Source organism: Homo sapiens, chromosome 4, assembly GCF_000001405.40.
Source record: "Homo sapiens chromosome 4, GRCh38.p14 Primary Assembly".
NCBI classification, from domain to species: Eukaryota; Metazoa; Chordata; class Mammalia; order Primates; family Hominidae; genus Homo; species Homo sapiens.
In genome coordinates this window covers 174,522,539-174,541,249 of record NC_000004.12, presented here as the reverse complement: position 1 = coordinate 174,541,249, position 18,711 = coordinate 174,522,539, and the positions used below count along the sequence as shown (strand labels likewise).

At 38.3% G+C, this 18,711-nt stretch overlaps 1 protein-coding gene, 2 long non-coding RNA genes and 1 pseudogene across 9 annotated transcripts in view; 3 read left to right on the top strand and 1 right to left on the bottom strand.

Moving 5' to 3' along the window:
- Positions 1-200: 200 nt before the first annotated feature.
- On the bottom strand, positions 201-18,637 carry LOC105377548 (uncharacterized). 7 transcript variants are annotated; one of them, XR_007058491.1, is made up of 7 exons: positions 17,829-18,637; positions 14,342-14,438; positions 10,994-11,156; positions 5,969-10,035; positions 4,369-4,608; positions 3,038-3,118; positions 201-934 (listed from the first exon to the last, which is right to left on the bottom strand). It is a non-coding gene; the product is annotated as an uncharacterized LOC105377548 (long non-coding RNA). The 7 variants fall into 7 exon arrangements; XR_007058492.1 differs by having other exon boundaries at positions 5,969-11,156; positions 17,829-17,865; positions 18,121-18,637; XR_007058490.1 differs by having other exon boundaries at positions 5,969-11,156; positions 17,829-18,242; positions 18,320-18,637.
- On the top strand, positions 1,067-2,037 carry LOC100419741 (zinc finger protein 772 pseudogene; annotated as a pseudogene).
- LOC124900870 (uncharacterized) lies at positions 11,563-12,540 on the top strand. The gene is made up of 2 exons (XR_007058494.1): positions 11,563-11,704; positions 11,967-12,540. It is a non-coding gene; the product is annotated as an uncharacterized LOC124900870 (long non-coding RNA).
- Positions 18,357-18,711, top strand: part of HPGD (15-hydroxyprostaglandin dehydrogenase) — a 32,719-nt gene continuing 32,364 nt past the window's right edge. The window contains exon 1 of the mRNA NM_001256301.1: positions 18,357-18,626. The gene's annotated coding sequence lies outside the window, so the exon portion shown is untranslated. The remainder of the gene's footprint in view (positions 18,627-18,711) is intronic.

Genomic DNA, 18,711 nt, shown 5'->3' with positions numbered 1-18,711 from the left:
TGACTGCAAACAATTGTGAGGATTTAATATATAATACATGTAAATACAGAAAGCCCTACAAGTTAAATGCCTTCTTCTTAGGTGAATCAGAATTAAAAACAATTACTCTTTAAATTAAGGAAACTGTAGAATTTACCCTCTGGTTTTTCAGTTCCTTAATTATCTTTCCAATTTTTATTGTTAAAAACAAGCACACAAGGTATGTAAAGTGGGTTTATTGAAATAAGCTGTTCTTTCATGTTCATATCTTTGACAGATCTACACACTTGGAGTCCTTGCTAGGATATCTCTATGCCTCTAATCTGGGAATTGAAAAAATAAATCGCAAAAATGTACACATGTTATACACGTACTTCAGGTGACCTCAAATGTGGCATTATAAAATTTAAGAATTGGAATGGCTTTCAGAAGCAATCTCTTTTACTAATAATTCTGCAAGCAACTAATATTGGATGCTTAATATGTCAGACATCATGCTAAACGCTTTACATGTAGTTCTCCATGTATTAATTACTCCAATACTTTTGTATACATTATTTTTTATCTTCCTTGTATGCATGAGGGAACTGACACTCTGAAAGGTGAAATAACTTGCTTAAATTCACTAGTAAGTAGCAGTGCCAGATTCTGAAACCAAGTTGATTCACTAGTTCAAAGCCCATAGATTTACCCACCACATTCTTATAACTCATTAATGAAAACACTCATTAGAAAATGGGCAAGAGATGGTCATATTCACTGGACACCGAGTCTGGCTTAAGGTGATGAGTGTGGGAAGGTATGTGGGGAGGCCTTCTTCCTACTGCAAAGAGGCAAGTCTGAGGGCTGGCGCCACCCAGCAATGACTCTGCTTCTACTTCCGGAACGCCAAGGGAGACAATTCCGGTTCCGGGATCCCCCTTCTTGGTCACCTGCAAGTCCCAGCTCGCTCCACCTACAGAAAGAGAAGCCATCTCAGTATGATCTTTATGAACATAGCCGACCTTTAATGACTTCTGAGAGGAATGGAGTTTCCTTGATGAGCCTGAGAGCTGTGCCCCGTGATGCAGAGAACTTTGCCTATATAACCTCGCCAGGTTGTTGGTGTGGAGCAAAGGGAAAGCAGACACCCTCAGTGAAGTGTTTCAGTAGAAAGTGTCACAGCTAGGTCCATTCATCCAGAAGGCTCATCCCTGTGAGATGTGTGTTCTGGTCTTAAGGGACATTTTGTATCTGGCTGAGCAACAAGGAACGCTATCTGGGCAGAAATAGTACACTTGTGAGGCATGTGGGAAACAATTCTGGTTTAGTGCAAACATGCACCAGCACCAGAAGGAACACAATGGAATAGAGACGTGGACAATGCTTTCTCTGTGAAAGGCTGCAGATTTTAAGTGTCAGGAAGGCCTTTCGCCTGTGGGAAAGTTGGGAAGGATTTTCCTGGCAACTGTACCTTCTCCAACATAGGCCACTCACAACTGGATTGAAGCCACACATCAGCACCAAATGTGGGGAGGCCTTTCACAGCAGAAAAAGTCATTACAAGTGCAGTGAACCAGGAAAGCTTTCAGGTACAAATACAAACTTGTTCAACATCAGGGAATTCACAATGGAGAAAAGGCCTTAGGAGTGTGGCAAATGTGGGAAATTATTTAGCCAAAACTCCAATCTCATTTGTCACTGGATAATTCACGCTGGAGAAAGACTTATGAGTGTGGTGAATGTGGAGAATTTCTTTAGCCAAAGCTCTGTCTTCATTGAACACTAGAGAATTCACACTAGAGCTAGGCCTCATGTGTATGGTGAATATAGGATGTCCTTTAGCCAGAGCTCCATCCTTAGTTAATCACAGAGCGTTCACACTGGAGCAAAGCCCTGTGAATTTGGTAAATATGGGAAATCCCTTCAACAGAAAGCCCTGGACTCAATCAACACTGGAGAGTGCATGCTGGAGAAAGGCTTCCATATTCACTATAACAACTCAGGAGGAAAGCCTCTGTGAATGTAAAGGAGGCATCGAACTCCATACATCTGAACATCCACAGTGGAGAGGTTCCCCACAAATTCCAGGTAAGTGGGAAGCTTTAAGGAGCTGCGTTGTACTTTCTAACCTGCGCAGGCCAGGACCCTTGCCAGATTTAGGTCACTGCCAGTTTCTGTGGCATAAGCCATTTCACCTCTACCACCTGACAGGTTCCCCATAGTGTGTATTAGTCACCTCAGTGTAATAAAGGAAAGCAGATGTTTCTGTTCTCTCTCTCATTCCCTGGAGAAAATCACAAATAGTCTGTGCCCTTAGGGGAATGTCATTCCTTCCTCTCTGACTAGTTAAGGCACGATCCTGACCCAATCTTGTCTAAGAAGATTGCTCTAGCCTGGGTATTACCGGCAATTTGCAAATAATTTTCTCTTCTTCCAATTTTGGTCTAATTTGCTTTGCTGTCAAAACCCACCTAGGAAAGAGTATTTCACTTTGTGATCCTAATTTGTGGCCTGAATGCCAGGATTTCTTTGTAGGCTCAGAGTTCACCCTGAGGAGGGGAAAGTTGTTGTGACATCCTGTAGGACTCTGGGGAGAAGGATGAATCCCTTTTTCTCGGGGGATGTCACATAACTCCTAGCACCCCTGAGAAGACTCCAGGCACTGCAGAGGAACCATGTGCCTGGATGTCCAAAACTCAAGTTTCTGGTGTCATTTGTTAAGAGGCCAGGCTGAAACCATAATTGGCGCAGAAACACTGAGTGTGATTAATAAGGTCTGGAGGAGACTGCATCAAGGTCGAGAATGGTACCTCTTCTGCAGTGTCTCCATAGGTGTTTCAGTGGCTAAGGCTATGAGCATGGGTGGGTGCACTCCATGCTGGTGTTTTTCCTGGAACTGACATAACTGTCAGAGCAAATAAGGTTTTGTTTACTCATGTAATGACCTCAAGGCCATTGCTGCACAGTCAAGAAAATGAAAATAGAGAAATGAGAGATCTCATAGTCCAGGGCTGTGGCTTTTGTCACCCCTCTAACATTTCTGTTGACTCATATAGAGATGATGTTTATTGCTTACCAATATTTCCTGCCACTGATGCGGGCTGCCTTTCCCAAGGCATGGTGGAGTCAATATAGGGTTGCCAAACTTTATGTTTTCCTTTAAAAAGTAGATCCAGACTTTAAGTCATTTTTAACGTTCTATTGAAACATAATTGGCATGCTATAAACTACACATATTTCAGGTGTACAGTTGAGTTGATTATCAGCCTGGATGATATACCAAGACCTTCATCTCTATAAAAATATTTAAAAATATTAGCTCCACGTGGTGGAGCATGCCCTTAGTCCCAGCTGCTTGAGAGACTCGGGGGGACAATCCCTTGATCCTAGGAGTTCAACACTATAGTGAGCTATGATCACAGCCTTGCACTACAGCCTGTGCAACACAGTGAGACACTGTCTCTTTAAAAAAAAAAAACAAAAAACAAAAACCGGTGTACAACTGAGGTACTTTCCACATACATATAAACTCATGAAACTGTCACAATTATGCTAATGTACATATCCAAATATCCATTACTCCTGTATACCTTTCTAATAATCTTTCCCTACTCTCACTTGCCCTCCAGGCAACCCTTGATTTACCTTTTTTCAAAATAAATTAGTTAATATTTTCTGGAATTTTATATGATTTTAATTATAAAGTGTTTTTTATTATTCTTGTTTTCTTCATGCTGCATAATTATTTTAATATTCATTAATGTTGCTTATGTGAATAGTTCATTCTTTTCTTGCAGAGTCGCATTCTGTTCTATGGATATTATCACTATTTGTTTACCCATTTATCTGTTAGTGGATATTTGGGCTGTTTCTGGTTTTGGGTTATTACAAATAAAATGGCATAGTTGAAGTATACAATTTGACATGCTTAAACTCTTGAAACTGAAAGTTTCTTCCTGCGCTTGCAACATATAAAATTATTTTTACAAGGACCTAGTCTACCTTTTGTAATGGATATTTTATATGTAGACACAAATGGAGAGGGATGTATTATGAAACTCTAGAAGCCCTTCCCCAATCTTCCATCATTATATCATTTCATAGCCATTCTTGTTTCATCAGGCTCCACCGCATTACTAGGTGACTTTACGTACAATTCCGGACATCATGTCATTTAATGCATAATTTTTTCAGGATGCACTTCTATAATGTAAGTGTTCTGTCATAACTCTAATAATTCTCATACAAAATGAAAATATTTAAAAATATTAAAAACAGATAAGCAAATGAGTTGATAACCAAATAAAAATACTATAAGTGATCAATAAGCATATGAAAAATATTCAACCTCACTAACAATAAAGATATACACATTTAAATAAAAAAACTATTTATTTCTTTTCTTACCCACATTTGGCAAAGATGTAAATGAGTGACAGTATTTGATAGGAGGGATATGGTCACCTTCAAATTAATTGGTGGGAGTATACATTGGAATCTCGTTTTTGCTCTTTTGTTTTTGCTTTTGGAGTCAGGGTCTCACTCTGTTGCCCTGGCTGGAGTGCGGTGGTGTGATCACAGCTCTCTGCAGCCACGAACTCCTGGGCTCAAGCAGATATCCTGTCTCAGCTTCCCAAGTAGCTGGAACTAGAGGTGCACAGCAACATGTCCAGTTAATTTAAAAATTTTTTTTTGTAGAGACAGAGTCTCATTACATTGCCCATGCCTGGTCTCTAACTCCAAGCCTCAAGGCCATCCTCTCACCTCAGCCTTCCAAAGCACTGAGATTACAAGCATGAGCCGCTGCACCCGGCGAATACCACATTTTTGGAAGGTAATTTGGCATATCCTCATAGCTCAGAAATTTTACTTTTAGGAATTTAACCTAAGGACATAACTAGAATACTTCAAAAAAGTGTAAGAAATGCAAATAATCTAAATGTCCAAAAAACGGATATTGGTAAATTAACTTACAAAATTTTGGTGTATTGGAATACATATGGAATACAGTTTTGTCATTTAAAATAATACTGTTAATAGGATAACGAATACATTTTAATTTATGTGCCAAATTTTATAATATCTTATTAATAACTTCACTTGTCATGGACAGAAATAATAAAATTAGCAAAATATGTATGGTTTATTATGGATCATAATAATTATTACATAAATACAACTAAGATCAACTTATATATTTAAATGTGAACATTTTGTTTCATATGGTTAGCAAAGTCACGAATATTTTGGCAATATTCTGTGAATCCCAATCAACATTTAGTCCATTATGTTCTCTTTGTAGACCACATAATTATATTGTTTTCTATTTTTTAATTGACACATTGTATTGTACATATTTATGGGATACAATTTGATGTTTTGATACATGTATATGTTGTATAATAATCAAATTAGGGTAGCTGGCGTATTCATCACCTTGTGCATTTTTCATTTCTTTGTAATAAGAACATTCCAAAACCTCTCTTCAAGGTATTTTATAATATACAATCCCTTACTGTTAACTATCTTCACCCTATTATGCAAAAGGACACCAGAACTTCTTTCTATCTTCTTGTAACTTTGTACCTGTTGGCCAACCTCTCCCATCCTCCCCAATCTCTCATTTTCTCCCCGGTGTCAGTAACCACTGCTCTACTCTCTAATTCTGTAAGATCGACATTTTTTTTTAGATCCCATTTCAAAATGTTAACTTTAAAAAGCAAGTTATTAAGCCACATATTTTCTTCATATGCCCTACTCAAATCTAGAATTGTTTTGTCTTCTTGACTTTAAAGTCTGGAAATTTTATCAAAAAAGAGGTTAGTTTAGCATGAGAACTTCTTATTGAACCCATCCTGGCTCCACCACCTTGCCTTACTAAGAGCTCAAAAATAATTGGTTCAATATTTAAGCATAGAATTATGCTGCAGATGGATACCAACGTCACCTCAGTACAATTTCTGGAATTTATATATGATAACATCTTCCTTAGCCCCACTCCTCTCACCATCTTGACCTGTCCTTTGAAAACATAGCCATGTGTAAATTTCTGGTCTCTGGTACCCATCACGTTCTCCTCCAGGTTTGTTCACGGCAGCTCTTTAATCACAAAAGAAAATGCTTAGACACTGAAGAATGTCATTTGTTGGGATTAATAATTATTACTCCTTCTAAAAGTATCCAGATCATCTGTTTCATTCTTCTGAACCCCTTGTGATTTCAGACCATTCTTGCTTTGTTCTTTTTAGTTCAAATAATGTTCTCCTGGATAAAGAAGATTATAAACAAAATAGCACTGTGAAACAGAGGATTCATCTGATTAGGTCTGCCAAATTTAGCATGCCCTGCTTGCTTTTGGTTACCTGCTTTTTATCTTTTTCTTTTCTTTTTTTTTTTTTTTTTTCATGAAGCTGAAAGCCACAGTAATTGAAGGCTGCACCACTGAACGCTGAAACTTAACCTTCATTAGCGGCATAATAAATTGAACATTTATAAATCACCATGGTAATGGTCACTTCAGTTATTTTTCAGGAATGTGGGACAGCTCCTGACCAGTTCAAACTGGTTGACTCTTCAGCTGGGCCTCTGTAAATGCCGGAGAGCATTTTGACATCAGAGGACCAAAAATTCCACCCTCAGATCATAATACCATCATTTTCTGCAAATGTGTCCTATGAAATGCCACATATCCCAACTATGTTTGCATAGATCACTGATTGCTTCATTTTTCCCCCACTGACAATCACCTTTTCCCACATCTTAGCTGACCCCACTTCTATAACCTATAAATATCCCTAAGCCTTATCTTCTGGGAGGTGGAGTTGAGACCTGTTCTTCACCTCCTCACTGGCTGCCTCATGAATAGTCTTCTCTTTTGCAAAATCCATTATCTCAGTGATTGACTTGCTGCAGTTGGGCAGAAAGAACCTGGTTGATGATCATTGTAGAAGCTGTAGATACTCGATTATTCACTGTCATCTGTTGCATCAGCTATTCTGTCTCCTCTCTACTTTCATGCAGACATAGATACAGATACCTTGTTTAACATATTTTAAAGAGCATTTTTATTACCCTCCCCATGATGTAGAAATCTCAGTTCATTGGAAGCCTTCATCTTCATAAACTCTTCTTCAAATCTTGTGCATGTCTTTTCATCCTTCTACCAATCTCCAGGTAGTTGGCTCTTTCTTATTCCCTTCTCAACTCCAGTGTTGCTTTCTTAGAAGCCTCCTTTCACAACTGATCTCATGGAATCCTTCCTTCTCCCCAATTCATGTCACTCTACCCCAATCCTGTCTTATTATTTTTGTTTCACTTATCACTACCCGCAATAATTATTTTTTCTACCTCCTTCAACTAGAAAGTGAGCACCATGAAGATAAAAATAGTACTGTCCCCTTAGGGCCTATTACTGGCCCAATCACATACTAGATATCAAATAGATATCTGTTGAATACAGTACTGATATTCCAAACATTAACTGGTACAGCACAGGCAATAAATAATCAGAAGAGACGCCAGATCTTTCTAGTACTGGGCTATGTACTTCACATACATCTTAATATTTAACCGTCATGAGAACATTCTATAAAAACCATTATTGCTGTCTTAACTTTTGTACAACTGATCTGAAAAAGATTAAGAAACACCTCTGGTTACAAATGGTAAGCTGGTATCCATGTTTCCTGCTTTATTTAGGAAGAGCTTTCCTTCCCATTCTTCATTCTAAAACTCAGTGCAGAAAGTCTCGTTACTTAGCACCACCTAGACATACAGTTACATTATGTCCAAGATCTTATTTCTAGTATAAAAATTCTAAAATTTGCTTAAATATTGCAAATATTTCTTCTAGAAATATTATTAATTCCACCACAAGTCAGAATATGGTGGTAGTGGATAATGAGCCTAAGAAAATTTGGCAGATTCTCAAACGTATAGCAGAATAATACTGTGACAAGGCATAGGGTGGCATCATATTGGTCAGATCTGACATTTACTTACAGAGTGAAGTTGCAACAATTTACCAAATATCTCTAAGCTTCAGGTTCTTCTTCTGTAGACTGGAAGAAATAATAGATCCAACCTCATGGCATCATTTTAGGAAATAAATGAGATAATGTGTATAAACCTCTAGGTATAATTCCTGTTGCAGAGTAAGCCTTTAAAAACTGCTAACTATCATCATCGTCATCGTCACCACTATCATTATTTTGAAGACTCTAGGAGACGAATATACATCTGTTTAATTATATCAAGCCACAGTAACCCTGAGCATCATAATACATACCTCTTCCTAGACTAATGTGAGATTTCTGGGTAACTTTCAGTACCTACAAATCTTGTTATTTTTCTCTTCACAAAGACAGCTATATTCAGTACAAAATGTACTCCCTGGGAACACTTGCTCTAGCTCCTAAGTATAAACCAATCAATAACAACTGTGTGACATAAGAGAAGATACTTAATCATAATTGTTTTAATCTACTTATCTGTAAAATAAAGGGATTGAAACAGACCATAAAAAGCAAAGTCTGTATCCAAACTAAAGTTCTGAGATTTCTTCTTGCCCAGCTCTGTCTTGTGGTAAATAATTAACATCTATGGTAGCAAAGAATAAATTATTCTCCAGTTCCAGTTCACTAAGTTGATGTCTAGCTCTCTGAGAATATTACACCATTTTAACTCCAAAAATAACAAGACACAGCAGCTCTGCTGTCTAGTAGAAATTAATAAGCTAATGACCTGAAAAAAAATCAATGTAATGCCAAATAGACATACTAAAATAATGCATTCTTGAAATAAGTATAATCACCTGTGACTGTCTGTTGCCTCATTAATCCTGACAAAATCCCTACGAAGTATTTAAATGGTTTGTAGCGGAAACATTTTTGTTTTAGCAGGAGAAAGAAAAACCTTATGCCAAACAAGAAATTTGCATATTTTGCCTAAAATTACCCACAACATTGAGGAGCAATCTACAAGAAACTGGATCTGTGAACCTCCAGCTGAGTGTCTGTAAGGAGGATGAGAAATAGTGAGATAAACAGATGGGGAATAAGGAAGGAGATGTTTTCTTCTTTCCTTTATTCCTATCTGAACTGCCTACAAAAAAACAGATGAGGCCAATTCCCAAAGTGTCTTTTCTTTAAAAGAAGTTTTGTAATGGTGCTATATTCTCTCCACACAGTGAAACTGTGCAAAAACTGAATTTTCCTTCACTGTGGGTCACCGGGAACATACCTGGTCTTATCTCATTGTCAAGCCAATCAGTTTCTATTGTTATCGTTACTTAGAGCTTCCCCTCCTGGACAGTTTCTGTGCTTCTGAGCAGAGGAAGACCTTGATTTCTAGGCAAGACACTGAGATGCCTATTCTTGGAAAATTATGCTAATGTTTTCTTTCTTTCTTCTTTCCTTTCTTCCCTCTGCCTCCCTTTCTGTCTCTCTCCTTCTTCCTCTCCTGGTCTTGGTCTTTGTCTCTACCTCTTTCTCTCTCTCTCCTACTCTTTGTAAAACAGACTATTGCCTCTAATTCCACAAGATACTTAGGTTACTTGCACAGTTACAGATAAAACTCATAGGGCTTATCAGTAGGAATTTTTCTAACAATAACTTGTGCAGTTACTCATACAGCATATCATATGCTCCCACTGTTGCAGATTCAAAAAGTTGACAGAAATTAGGGAAATTTAATTCCAGAGCAGAGTGCCAGTGAGCCAGGATAGTTACACAAAAGTAAGTTTCAAAAGACAATTTCAGTGTCAGGATTCAATTGAAAAGGCTGATAACTTCAGTTTTCTTCATATGTCCAGATATATTTAACAACAAAATTCTAAAAACTTTTTTGTTTTAAAAGGGAGGAGTGTTCTAACTCTCAGAACCAAAAATATATTCACTGATTAAAGTTTTGTTGACCTTAGTTCATAAAGGATATTAAATTTAAAAAATCCTAAGAATTTATGAAATGTGGAAAAAAAACATATTAAGAGCCTCCTCCAAGTCTAGGCAATGGGCTTCTGAAAGTTGTCTTCTCTTGATACCGGGTACTGAGGAATAGGGCCTGTTTTGACGCCAGCTGAAAAGACACTCAAATTACTAATGACCCATTAGCAACATATTCCCATTCAAGACTCTACATCATTTCTCCACAGAGGACTTTGGGTGTTCACTCGAGTGCTCTGAGGTTTAGGTCAGTGTTGCTAGGACCCTCCAGAGGGCCTCCTGTCTGATAAGACTTCCTACTGGATAATCACAGAATGAATAAAGTTATTCTCTCCACTATGCACGGGAGGGTCCAAACAGTATGTGGAATCTTTTAAGAGCAGAAAACCTGCATTTCCTTCTCCCCATCATAGTGTGAAATTAGGAGAAGCTAATCTGACAACTCGTTCATGACCAGGAGGGCTAAATTGCCAAAAAGTAAAAAGAGCCAGTCCTGAAGAATTTTCTAGGACTGATATGATTTGGCTGTGTCCCCACTCAAATATAATCTTGAATTGAAGTTCCCATAATTCCCACGTGTTGTGAGAGGGACCTGGTGGGAGATAATTGAATTACAGGGACAGTTTCCCCCATACTGTTCTCGTGGTAGTGAATAAGTCTCACAAAATCTGATGATTTTATAAGGGATTTCCCTTTTCACTTGGCTCTCATTCTCTCTTTTCTGCCACCACATAAGACGGGCCTTTTGCCTTCCGCCACACAAGACAGACCTTTTGCCTTCTGCCATGATTGTGAGGCTTCCCCAGCCATGTGGAACTGTGAGCCCATTAAACCTCTTTTTCTGTATAAATTACCCAGTCTTGGGTATGTCTTTATCAACAGCATGAAAACAGACTAATACGAGGACACTACCCAAAAGTTCAGAAAGAATAAATACATTGCAAAGATGAAACTGCTCAATCGAGTGGAAAGAAGTTTCCTTCCCCAAATTTAAAAACCAAATGTATAGGCTGACATCCAGTATTATACACAACATATTTGTTTTCATTACTATGAAAAGTATGACAAATGCAAAAATGGAAAATAAAGACCTAAGTGGGTGATTGTCACCAGAAGTTTCACTGACGTTCTTCCCCTTGATTCTGTCCCGTCAAGTCAATTCTTGTGGTTAGCATCATGATGGAGCATTCTACTCCCTTTCTCTTCTCAGGAGAGATGCCTGAATTTCTTTGTTCCTTCCCAACATCCTAGATCCTATAACAATAAAACAGGCAAAATACAGTTGCTGTGGTTCCATTGCCCCTGACTGCAATTCATTCTCCAAGTTAAACCAAGATAATCTTTCAAACACCCAAAGCTTAGAGGTCTCCCTAGGTTTTAAAGCCATTCAGTGACTTCCTATTGTCTGAGAGTGAAATATGAAGTCCATCTTATGGCTTAAAATGTTCGTAGTGATGTGCCTCCTTTCTTCTTCTCCAGCCTCATCTTCTGCCATTCCCTCATCCCGCATCAGCACCCCGTGTTCTAGCCTTTATTTTAATTGTTCAGATACACAGTATTCTCCCTTTCTCCTGGATGCTAGAATCTTCAGCTCCTTCTGTTTTGCACTACCCCTTCTTCCCTTCTCCTAACTTCTATTCTACCCATAAACATTTTTCAGACTTCAGGAGAAATAGCACTTCCTACAGGAGACTTGCCTCTTCTACCTCACCATGTTAAGCCCCTCTGACATGCGCTCCCATATACCTGCCTGTGACCAAATTATTGTCTGCATCCCCAAAGAGGCTACAAGCTCCATGGAGGTAAGATCATTTGTTTTATTTACTGCATGTACTCATGCCCTAGTACAGGACATATCTGTGGTGGCCAAAACACATTTGTTGAATAAATTGTACAAATTATATGAGCACAACCTATTAAGTAGAAGTTACTTTAGAGTAGTTGTTTATAACTGATACCACCCAATATTGGAACACATGGGTAGAAATTTTTCAAAAATTCTTCCTCAGCCTTCAGGTCCACCTGTAAGTGATGAATTTCTTTTCCTCTTTCTCTGTGTCACAGATTACCACCACTTGACCATTTGGCAACTGAATAACTTTGACCATTAGATGCTTCTCCCGTTACTGAACTGAACTGCCTTTCTGTTCTTGCCATTTGCAGGAATGTGTGTTTTGTTAAGTACAAGTCACAAGACTGGCTCAATCCTTAATGCATCCATCTGTTGGTTTCCCCAGTATAGTTTAGTCAGTAAACAGAATTCCATTTCCAGATTGGAAAATCTATGTTTTGTGGGCTGAATTGTGTATTCCCCCACAAATCCTTACATTGAATCCCTACCACCTAATACCTGAGAATGTAGCTCTATTTGAAGTTAGAGCCTTTAAAGAGGTGATTAAGTTAAAATAAGACCATGCGGACTGTAATCCAATCTTGCTAGTGTCCTTATAAGAAGAGGAAATTTGGACACACACACAGACACACATTCACAGAGAAAAAGCCGTGTGAGGACGCAGCGAGAAAGTGACCATCTGAAAGCCAAGGAGAGAGGCCTGAAGAAACCAAACCTTCCAAAACCTTGATCTTGGACTTCCAGCCTCAGGAATTGTGAGACAATAAATTTCTGTTGTTTAAGCCACCAAGTCTATGGTATTTTGTTATAGCAGCCCTGGGAAACACCAAGAAAAGTTAGAAACATCTCACCATATTCTGGAGTTGAAAATCTATCTGTATCATTGTTCTTTCTCCATTTTCAACTAAGTATCTCTTAATCCAGAAATAAATATGAATATTAAGGAAGAAACTTAATAAGAATATTTCATTGATCACCAAATTTGTGCCAGGCATTGTACTGGGTGCTTCAAGGAATGTCATTTTGTTCCCCTTTTAACAGCTCAGGAAACAGGATCAGAGAGGTTACGTAATCACCCAAAGATCATACAATTAGCAAAGGGGATGAGACAGCATTTGAATGTAGATCTAAGAGAATTCAGTGGAGTAGACAAAGCAAAGGCTTTGGAGCCATGTGACTTGGATGTGTACCCAAGTTTGTTGCTAAGTTCTGGTATCAGTCCCTTGTCTTCCATGAGGCTCATTTTCTTCAACTGTAAAATGAGGATACTACTACTTACCTTGCAGGGTTAGCAAGAAAACTAAATGAAATAACTTACAAAGGAACAAAAACATAGTAGCTATTTAAAAAGTCAGCTCCTCTATTGTAGCTTGTGGTAGCAAAGTCAAAACAAGCCCCAGACCCCAGTACTAGCAGTAACTGTCTTATGCCAGCAGTGGTTTTTGTTTGTTTGTTTCAATAAAGAAAAAGCTTATTTTTGTATTGATTGATATGTCATTATTTTAAAATTCAGTAAACATGTCTATCAGGTGAGTGACTGGCCTGCCTCTGAGCCTGGGCCTGTGATTGAGTGCTTCTTGGAATGTCTGTGCTCACCAGTGTGCATGGGATAAAGGAAAAATCAATTTAAGACTAGCCTGGCCTAACAGGTCAGAACTGAGCTGACAGACACTAGGGTATGGGAAAATATATATTTGCTCAAAGAGTGCTGATTTCAGTCTATATTCAACTTGTATTTCTTAAATAAATCGCCATTCAGACAGGGCTAAAAGTACTGCTCAGCTACAGTTATCTCAAAATTAAGAGTTTAATTTTCAAAAAAGAAGTAATACTCAGTAGTCAGCCACACCTTGTGTCAAAGCCTCCTCCTTCATTTTCTAGATAAGTGACCTTGACCAGATTCCCCAAACTCCTTAAACGTGTTTTGCTCATCTATAAAATTACCACAATAATAACTACCTCACAGCTTGGTTGTAAATAATAAACGCAATTATATATGTATAGTGCTTAATGATAATAGCATTTATATAACATTTGCTATGTGCCGGTCACTGGTCTAAGCACTTGACTTGTATCTAACTTAGTATAGTCTTCACAACAACTTTATGAAATAGGTGCTGCTATTATCCTCATTTTACTGATGAGGAAGCTGAGATTCAGATAAATTAAGTAACTATCCAAAAGTCACAGAGCTAGTAGATGGTAGAGCTGGATTAAAACCCAAGCGGTCTGATTCCAGAGGCTGTATGTGTAGACAGTAAGAGATGGCTGCTTCTGAGTAAATGTTCAACACTCAACACTTGTAATTGCATTAAAGGAATAATCACCTCTCTTAACTTTGCATCATTGCGCTGCATTTGTTTTTAAGAGAACTTCGTTTGCAAAACTAAATCAAATACAGCTCTCTACATGCTAGGAAGCCATGTGTCAGTTAAAACATAGCCACTCTCCATGCCCTCAGGCCTTTGCCGTTTGATACCCGCTCCTCTTGAGTATCTTTGCCCTCCCACTTTCTTCAACTGTTTTCCTATGCAGCTATCAGATCTCTACCATGGAAATACCAATCACAGGATCATAAGGAGCTTACTCTCTCTGGATGTCTTCAAAGAGGGCTCTGTCTTTTTCTCTGGATCCCTTCCAGCTGACGCAGCACAGGGCCACCCAAAGTACACGCGCAATACACGCTGACCAAAGAAAAGTATATATAAATATGAGATATGTGTTCAAGAGAAGATGGAAAATTTTAATAGGATGGTGAGATTTCCCATATGTTGTGATTATCTTTTTATATAACAGAAATATATTGATAATGGGTTTTTGGAGAAGAATGTTCCCATATTTTATATTAAAAGTCTATTTTGAATTTAAAATATCTATAGAACATTATATGTGGTATATTATAAAACCAAAAAAGGGCTGCTTACCCAGTCAACATCTCCCCACTCCTCTGATTTTTATATGCATTTCTCAGCTTCTATGTTCAGGACATTACATCAGCTATATATTTCTGTCATCACAGTGATTTGTGTTATTAAAAACATAATTCTTAGCTAAAACAAAGTTAAATTTGAGATAAACCATCATCCATATAATTTTGTAAGAACATTCTTATTTATAGGCTATACAGGTGAGTGTCCCTTATCCAAAATGCTTAGGACTAGAAGTATTTCAGATTTCAGAATTTTGGGGGGATTTTGTATTTGCATGTACATAATGAGATACCTTGGGGCTGAGACCTAAGTCTAACCATAAAATTTATTTGTTTCACATACATATTATACATATAGCCTGAAAATAATCTTTTGCATTTTAATAATTTTGTACATGAAACCAAGTTTGTATCTAGTACTTACATGTGGAATTTTCCACTTGTCATGTTTCAGATTGTTGGAGCACTTTTTAACAAAAACTTTCATTTAAAAAAGATTATTGCTTAGGAGTGGGGGCCAGGGAGGCAGTGTATAATGACACTATCTTTGTTTTGCTAGATAAGTAAGTAATTTATGTCTATTTGGAGACTTTATGGCAATAAATGATCTAGTAGGTTAGCCAATTTGGTTGCCCTGATGGCTATCTACCAAAAAGATTTAATTTGCCCCGTGTTCTACATGATTTAGTCATCAGGGACATTTGGGAGGATTTTTTCTATTGGGAGATATATTAGGTTAGGCTGTGATAGAAAATAGAAACAAACATGCAAAGGCTCAACAGATAAGAAGTTTATATCTTGCTTACATCACAGTCCAGGAAGGCTCAGATTTTGGAGCAATTAGGATTTCAGATTTTTAGATCAGGGATGCTAAACCTGTGACTGACACACAGCTTCCTGGCATGTAAAGAAGGGCCACAAGAAAGACATGGGGCATGGAACACCTCAGATGTGATGCCCAGGAGTTTAGATATTTTAAGGATTTTAAACATGAGAATATCTAAACACGATCAGATCAGTTTTAGAAATTTTCCTAGGAGAAGTGCAGAAGGTAAATTGGATTTAAGAAATGTGGAGCAATTAAATGAAATAAGTCAGGTACAGAAAGATAAATATTGCATGTTCTTAGTCATATGTGAAAGCTAAAAAAAAACCTTATAGAAGTAGAGAGTAGAATTGTGGTTATCAGAGGCTGGGAAGGGTAAGGGGAGATGTGTATAGGGAGAGGCTGGTTTACGGATACGAAGAAACAGCTAGATTAGAGGATAAGTTCTAGTGTTTTCTAGAACACATGTAAGGTGAATATGGTTAACAATAATTTAGTGTATAGGTTCTAAAAGCCAGAAGAGAGGATTTTGAATGTACACAACACAAGCAATGATAAACATTTGAGTTAATAAATATGCTAATAATCAAATATCCTGATTTTGTCACTATACATTGTATACATGTATTGATATATCACTCCGTACATATATATCACTCTGTATATATAGATCACATAAATATGCACAGTTATTCCATGTCAACTAAAAAGGGAAAAAATCCTTCCTTACAAAGATCACTGTTTGGTAAGCAGTTTAATTCACTGTAATAAAAGCATCTCACAATGCGAAAAAAAGTGGGGGGCGTATTTGGAGGTAATGAGAAGCTAACTGCTGTTTGCTATCATAGGAGAAAATATGAATCTGGACAGTGGCAGTGGAAATTGAGAGGAGGGAAAGGGATGAAGGGGTACTAAGTTTTCTCTAGACCTCAGTCCTTGCTATCTACTAAAAAAACCTATTCTTCACATTTTTCTCTATCTCACATTTATTATTCATTAATATTTCAGAAGTAATATGTTGGGACTAATATTAATGTATTAATACTTTGTGGCAGGCTCTGTAATAGTGTTTAATATGCTTCACCTATTTTAATTTTCACCTTTTTTTTTTTTTTTAGAAAAGCTTACTTTATAATAAGGAATCTGAGACCCAGAGTTGAAGCAAATTGCCCAAGGTTACACAGCTGGTCAGTAGCAGACACAAGATCCAAACCCGGTTTGTCTGAATCCAGTGCTGACGTCCTTGTGCCTCACCTATCCGCCACCGCCAAACTGCTTCCTGTTCTTCCAGTTGTCACTATCCTTGACTCATTGCACTTTGACCTCAATCAATCTTCTTATCTTTTCTTAAAAGAAAAACATGTTTGCTGTCTAATCTTTTCAACTATTATCCAGTCCATTTCTCTTTCCATGTAACCTTGGTCTTCAGTCCATGACAATATCTATCTTCTCACAGATCATTTCAGCTGTTCAGTTTTTGTGCCTTCTAAATTTACTCACACTAAATATTGTCCTGAAAAATTCAAAATATTTCTCCATCCTTTATTCCCTGGTGCTCACCTGAGTATTTTGCATTATTAACTACTTCTTTCTTCTTGAAAGTATTTCTCCCACAAGAGCTGCAAACCTGTGTTCTCCCAGCATGTTGCCATTTTACCCCAGCAGTTCCTTTTCTGTCTTTTTTGCCAGTTCCTTCATCAGAAACTTCTATGTTCTGTGCATGCCATTAGAGGAGCTGAAGTTTTGTTTGGTTCCTTGTTTTCTTTTTGTCTTCTACTATTATTCCCTTTCAATATGACCCCTCAATTTACTCTTCATATTACAATTTTAATTATCATCCTAGAGTACAAATATCTATTTTCCTGTTTTAATTTCTCAAGATTTTGTCAAGACCTAATTTCAAATTAATGTTAAAGACATTTGCTTAGCGGCTTACCAACAACGCGACAAGACACATTTTACACAGTCTCCTCATACACTCCTTCCCTGCTGAGCCAGCCACCTTTCCCAGTAAAGAAGGTAAAGAAGATATAAAAATGATTCATTCTGCTGTTAGTGTCAGTCTTTTGCTCAACTCCCATTTCCCCCAAGTATTTAGATTTTTTTTTTCTTTAAGAAAATAAATGCCAGCTGGGCATAGTGGCTCATGCCTGTAATCTTAGCACTCTTTGGGAGTCCAAGGTGGGAGGGTCGCTTGAGCCCTGGAGATTGAGGTTGCAGCGAGCTGGGATTATGCCACTGCATTCTAGCCAAACAGACAGAGCGAGATCTTGTCTCAAGATTAAAAAAAAAAAAAAAAAAAAAAAGCCAACCACTTACGTTTACAGAATTAAAATTGCAGCCTGCCGCTGACAACCTGAGAAAAAGAGACAAAGTCAGTGGAATAGCCCTTGTTATTTATGCAAGTCCGCATACAGCTAGCCCTGGAGTTCCTGGAGAGCAAGGAACCTCTGTCCCAAACTTGACTCAGAGCTTCCAAAGTTGGTGTATTTCAACAAGTAAGCATTCCATTGAGCCAACAATTTGGTAGGCTACCAGCGGCTCTGGAGCGCCTGTTGATGATGACAGTTTTTGTGGGGGCATCTCAATATGACACACAATTGACACTGACCAGAAACACAGCGCCAAGGACACTCTAGTCCTAGCCATGAAATGTTATGATTCCAGGTTTTCAGGACAGAGCAGAGTCCACTTCTCATCTCCAGTATCCGTAAAAATTTGTCCAAAATGTAACTAAGAAAACACAATGATATTAGTTACTTCTGCTCCCCGTCACCCTCAACCCCACTGATTACGAGATGGGAACTCACACAAAACTTTGAGACAAAAGAGCAACAAGTTTGCTTTATTGTTTGCTTGTTTTGTTCCGGAGTCGGGGCCGGGAGGGAGTGCAGGAGGAGGGATCCAAGCTTCCAAGCCTCTGCTCCGCTCTCCTTCTATCCAGTTGGTCTTTAGGGCACTGAAGGAAACTCTTCTTCAGAAATAACCTTTTAACTTTTCTTCTGTCAGCTGCCTGCCAATCACGGAGCCAGAGGCTGAGGGGAGGCTTTGAGCCGGTCTGCGAGTCCGGAAGGCAAAGATCGCGAAGCTTGGCGCTCCAGAACGCTCAGGGGGCAGGTGACACAGTCGTGGGTTCCCCGGCGGGCGCTGGCTTGACAGTTTCCTCCCCGCCCACTGGCAGGGGAGCGCCCCGCCGGGCTGC